Source organism: Homo sapiens, chromosome 14, assembly GCF_000001405.40.
Source record: "Homo sapiens chromosome 14, GRCh38.p14 Primary Assembly".
Lineage (NCBI taxonomy): Eukaryota > Metazoa > Chordata > Mammalia > Primates > Hominidae > Homo > Homo sapiens.
This window is the reverse complement of record NC_000014.9, coordinates 20,835,423-20,841,422: the sequence shown is the minus strand read 5'-3', so window position 1 is coordinate 20,841,422 and position 6,000 is coordinate 20,835,423. Positions and strand designations below refer to the sequence as shown.

The 6,000-nt window shown below is 44.2% G+C and overlaps 1 annotated feature.

Moving 5' to 3' along the window:
• Positions 766–1,266: an enhancer, noted in NCBI's record as "H3K4me1 hESC enhancer chr14:21308316-21308816 (GRCh37/hg19 assembly coordinates)". NCBI's record gives its function as "activates a minimal SCP1, AML or CMV promoter by ChIP-STARR-seq in naive H9 embryonic stem cells {active_cell/tissue: H9 hESC(naive)}" and the evidence as "EXISTENCE:reporter gene assay evidence [ECO:0000049][PMID:30033119]".

Here is a 6,000-nt window from a genome sequence, read left to right as displayed (position 1 = left end):
CATCCATGTTATTTGCTCTCCCTGACTATCATGTCATCTATTATTGTGATGAGATTTTGCATCTTCATCCAAGTCACCTGAAAATATGATGAATAAGATAGGCCTGTGGAGACAGGTCTGTGTCACATCATCACATGATCTGGTTTAACCAGTTAGGAAGGTAGTCATTGCATTGAGAGACTTTATCAAGTGCTTTGCAGAAGTAAAGATGCAAAATATTCTCCACATTTCCTAATTCTACCTAAGGCAGGAGATTAGATTAGTCTAACATGATTTCCATGTGAATCTGTGCTGTTATTTATTATCATGTTCACTACAAATCCAAGCAGTAAATCATTATTTTTAATACACTTGCCTGGAATGTTTCCTGGAATTAGTGTATTTTTTCTGGTTCCACCTACTTCTCATTTGTTTCTACTTCCTCTGGCCCTTTAACAGGCCAGAGCACCCAGGTATCATATCCAATCCTGTCTTTATCTTAGGGGATCTCTCAAGAATATCCCATTCATGTGCTTTTGTCCCAGTCATTCTTGTGCTCATCCTCATTCTCTGGTTTTGAATATTCTGCAACATACTTGTGAAGTGGCGTCATTTGTCTGGGGTAAATACCCGAGGTTCATCGTCTCCGTCTCGCATCAAGCAAATTGAGAATTCAGACAAAAGAAGTGGGTTTAGGGCCAGGCGCGGTGGCTCATGCCTGTAATCCCAGCACTTTGGGAGGCTGAGGCGGGCGGATCACCTGAGGTCGGGAGTTTGAGACCAGCCTGACCAACATGGTGAAACCCTGTCTCTACTAAAAATACAAAATTAGCCAGGCATGGTGGCGCATGCCCGCAATCCCAGCCTCTCAGGAAGCTGAGGCAGGAGAATCGCTTGAACCCGGGAGGCAGAGGTTGCAGTGAGCCGAGATCGCGCCATTGCACTGCAGCCTGGGTAACTGAATAAGACTGTCTAAACAGCAACAACAACAACAAAACAAACAAACAAAAAACCAAAGCCACCTCAAGAATTACTCATTCCTTGGGTATCTCCCATGTATATAGGAAATAAACAAGTAAATAAATTTAAGTTTGTTTTTCTCTTGTTGATCTGTCTTTGGTTTCAGGGCTCCTCTCCAACTAAGAACTCATAAGATTTCAGTAAAAAAAAAAAAAGTTTCCCCTTCACCACACTGCCTAATTTTAACCTATACATTTTTAAAAACCTTTGTTACATAAATAAAATGTGTGTGAATCAGATGAGGTATGGCAAGGATAGGCAGTAATAAAACATGAAGGCCGGGCGCGGTGGCTCACGCCTGTAATCCCAGCACTTTGGGAGGCTGAGGCGGGCGGATCACGAGGTCAGGAGACCGAGACCATCCTGGCTAACACGGTGAAACCCCGTCTCTACTAAAAATACAAAAAATTAGCCGGGCGTGGTGGCGGGCGCCTGTAGTCCCAGCTACACAGGAGGCTGAGGCAGGAGAATGGCGTGAACCCGGGAGGCGGAGCTTGCAGTGAGCCCAGATCGCGCCACTGCAACAGAGCGTTGACTGGGCAACAGAGCGAGACTCCATCTCAAAAAATAAAAATAAAAATGAAAAATAAAACATGAAAACAAGGAACAAAAGAGGTAGAATTGGCTGTGGGTTCATTGAATGCTGTACCTTCACCTGAATTGCCTGGGGCCAAAAAGCATTTCAACTATTCAGTTATCTCCTTTCCCTTTAATTCTACGCTTACCAAGCAACCTTCTAATTAAAATCTTAGATTGCACTGGTCATGCTGACATCTGTATTTCAGGAAGTGTGACAGTTATCCTTTACATATTAAAAAATATCATTCTAGGTTATATCTGAGTAATCTATGAGTTTCGTTAAGCCCCCCCTTTTTTTTTTTTCTGAAAACAACGTCACAACTTGAGCCAGCAAACCTAAGCACCATGATATGTGATGAATAATTCACCAGGTAAATGCTATATTGTGAATATTATCACACTAAGTCAGAAGGCATTTTGTGTTGCTATCCTTATTTTGTCTGCTTTCAAACATTAACAATTTCCAAATAAAATGTTATTTTTATAACATAGGTCACATTAGTTTTTTTTGTGTGTGTCTTTATCCTCCTTTTCTTCATAACACAATCGTCTAATTGATATATAACTACTTCAAATATAGAACTATTTTCAAAAAGATAATCATATATGGACCTCTGTGTCTGGTCATTTCTATACTCTTGCTATAACTCTAGAAGCTTAAAAATGATCTATGTTTTTTCTCCTACTTAATTACTTACAGAAAATGCTACAGTAGTTTCTTTCTTTTCAGATTCCCTAACCACCATTTTCTCTCATATCTTATTGATTTGGCCAGGACTTCCGAAACAATATCAAATAATAATAAATATTACTGGTATCATTTGCTGATTCTAATTTTAGGAGGATACGTCTAGGTAGATAAATGTTGGTAAGTCCTAGATACTCTTTCTGACTTTTTCGTGGTCAGCTTGGCTAATTGATTACAAAACCCTAAGGGTAACTGCCTGACTGACTAGATTTGGCTCGTCAAATGAAACCCACTAGTCATGCGGATCTAAATACCCTTAGTATAGTAAGGAAACATTTTTTCTATTCCTTTAAAAGATCAACATGCATAGCCGGGTGTGGTGGCTCACGCCTATAATCCCAGCACTTTGGGAGGCCAAGGTGGGCGGATCACCTGAGGTTGAGAGTTCGAGACCAGCCTGACCAACATGAAGAAACCCCATCTCTACTAAAAAAAATACAAAATTAGCCGGGCGTGGTGGTGCATGCCTGTAATCCCAGCTACTTGGAAGGCTGAGGCAGGAGAATAGCTTGAACTCGGGAGGCGGAGGTTGCAGTGAGCTGAGATTGTGCCACTGTACTCCAGCCTGGGCAACAAGAGCAAAACTCCGTCTCAAAAAAAAAAAAAAACAAAAAAAAACAATCAACATACAACATACTTTTTCAATCTTGTCAAGTCATTTGTTTTAAATAAAGTCTCTTGAAGTGATTATGGTTTCCAAGTACTTCTGATTATCAAGACTGTCTGGATTTCTGGGTTTTGCTTTGTTTCTTTTCTTGAGAAGATATAAACCAAAAATAAAATTCTAAGCCCCCCAACAATCTGAATGGACCCTCCCCTCAGGCAAAAGCATTCTAAAGTTAACCTGAAAAACTAGTGCAGGCCATCATGGGAAGGGGGAGTTGGACACACCTCATTATACCCTCCTCCCTTTTGGAATTCAGGCTTAGCTGACCAGCCTTAACATCAACACAGACTTTAAGACTAATACAACAGACTCTTTAAGTCTAATAAGAAACATTTGCAATCTATTGTCTCTGAAGTCTGCTACCGGACACTTTATCTGCATCATAAAACCTTGGTCTCTACAACTCCTTATCATAACCCAGACATTCCTTTGTATTGATTCCAGGTCTTTATTTTATTTATTTATTTTGAGACAGAGTCTCGCTCATTGCTCATTGCCCAAGCTGGAGTGCAGTGGTGTGATCTTGGCTTACTGCAACCTCCACCTCCCAGGTTCAAGCGAGATCCTCCTGCCTTAGCCTCCCAAGTAGATGAGACTACAGGTGTGTGCCACCACACCCAGATAATTTTTGTATTTTTAATAGAGATGGGGGTTTTGCTATATTGGCCAGGCTGGTCTCAAACTCCTGACCTCAGGTAATCCACCCACCTCAGCCTCCCAAAGTGCTGAGATTACAGGCATGAGCCACCATGCCTGGCCAAGGTCTTTAGATAATAATTTTTTTTCTTTGAGACACAGTCTGTGTTACCCAGACTGGAGTGCAGTGGTGTCATCTTGGCTCACTGCAACCTCTGCTTCCCAGGTTCCAGTGATTCTCCCACCTCAGCCTCCCAAGTAGCTGGGATTACAGGCGTACCTCATCATGCCTGGCTAATTTTTGTATTTTTTGGTAGAGACAGGGTTTCACCATGTTTCCCAGGCTGGTTTCCAACTCCTGACCTCAAGTGACCTACCTGCCTCGGCCTCCCAAAGTGCTGGGATTACAGGCATGAGCCACCGTGCCCAGCCAATAATGGCTCTTTCAACCAATTGTCAGTCAGAAAATGTTTGAAACTGCCTATGACCTGGAAGCTGACCGCTTCCAGTTTTCCTGCCTTTCTGAACTGAACCAGTGTACATCTTACATGTACTGACTGATGGCTTATGTTTCCCTAAAATATATAAAACCATGTTGTAGCCTGACCACCTTGGGCACATGTTCTCAGGATCTCTTGAGGGCTGTGTCATGGGCCATTGGTCACTCCCATTTGGCTCAGAACAAACCTTTTCAAATACGTTACAGAGTTTGACTCTTTTCATCAACAAAGGAAAACAACTAAGATGGAGGTGGTGGTGGTTTTAGTCACTGCTGCTGCTATGGGCACCCTCCCACCCACCTCCCAGCAGCGGCTCATTCTCGCAAGGCTCTGCATAAAAACATTCCTCCTCCCCCTACTTTTTGCAGCTTATTGCTTTAGAATTCCTGTGTTATTTGCCAACCTCTTTCTTGTCTCAAAGTATGTGTGGCCCTCTAGTGGAAACTTGGAGCCTCCCGGTATTTGGGAGTTAAGTATCCCCAGGTCTTCCAAGTGAGATGCCAAACTCATTCCAAAACTTGGGGTCTGAATTAGAAACATCTAGATTTCCACCTGTCCATGATAAAAACTGTAAGATTCTCCCTGAGGCCTGAAAGCTTGAAGGGATGAGTAACTCCTCCCTTCTCAGGCCCAGTCCCAAGGCACAAGGCTATTTGTGTCAGCAGCGTGCACCAGCAAGGTAGCCGAAGCAGGAAGACAGCCAGCTGGAAGACCCCTACCCTGGTGGGAAGACACGTACCCCTGAAGATTGAAAAAGAGGCCGTCTGGGTACTGTAGTATGTAGTACATAGCAGTCACGTCAAACTGGGACACTTCCTGTTTACAGGAGACCATAAAACCCCTGCTCTGTTCTCATTTTGGTGCTGACGCCATTTTAGGCCTCAGCCTGCCTGCACCCAGGCGCTCATTAAAACAGCATGTTGCTCCACACCGCGTCGTGTTGTCTGTTGGCTCCCTCTCGGGGTTCAAACGGATACAAGAACCTTACATTTTGGTGCCAAAACCCGGGAGAGGCTCAGGTCTGCATCCCCCGTGGACCTACCCCTCCACCCCGGAGAGCAGGCCACAGCAGCCGGACAAAGGAAGCTCCTCAGCCTCCAGTCAGCTCTCTGTGCGTGCACACCGGTCACTGATCTCGCCTACTGGTGAGTTTCCCCAGGACCCTGGTTAACAGGGAAAAATCCGCATGGTTTCTCTTGGTTTCTCTGGTCCGAAAATCCAACATTGGTCCAAAAAGGCTCTGGAGTGTGCCAAGCACTTGCTGATCATCTGGTCTTAGGGGGACACCTCTAAGCCATTCGATCCCATTCCAGGAATGAAAAAGGCAGCGGTGACGATCGTTCTTTTTATCGTCTCCCTCTGGCCATCCAGGACAGTGTCCTTTTCCCTGTTTTCCCGAGCCAACCCTCCTTTATAAAAAACTCCCAGTCGTCCATTCCAAAAAATAGCCCTCTAGGCTGCCTCATAAAAAAACCTGCAAACCTTAGGCCTCAGCCAAGATATCTGCCCTAAGCACCTTGTCTTTTTTGTAATTCAGTCTGGCCACAATATGAATTGGATAATGGGTCCAAATGGCCTGCAAATGGAGCACTCGACTTCACAGTTTTAACTGATTTAAGCAGTTATTGCCAACGACTGGAGAAATGGGGAGAAATTCCTTATGTCCAGGCCTTTTTGCACTCAGATCACAACCCGAACTCTACAATTCTTGCTTACCTGTTCAAATCCTTCTCCTCCATTCTTGCCGCCCTGATCGCCTTTCTTCTCCTGACCCTACCTCTTTTTCCTCGTTGGGTCCAGCAGACTGCTGTCCACCCCTCCCAGCCCCTACCTTTCCCTCTCAACCGTCTTCTTTAACCTCCCAAGCCTCT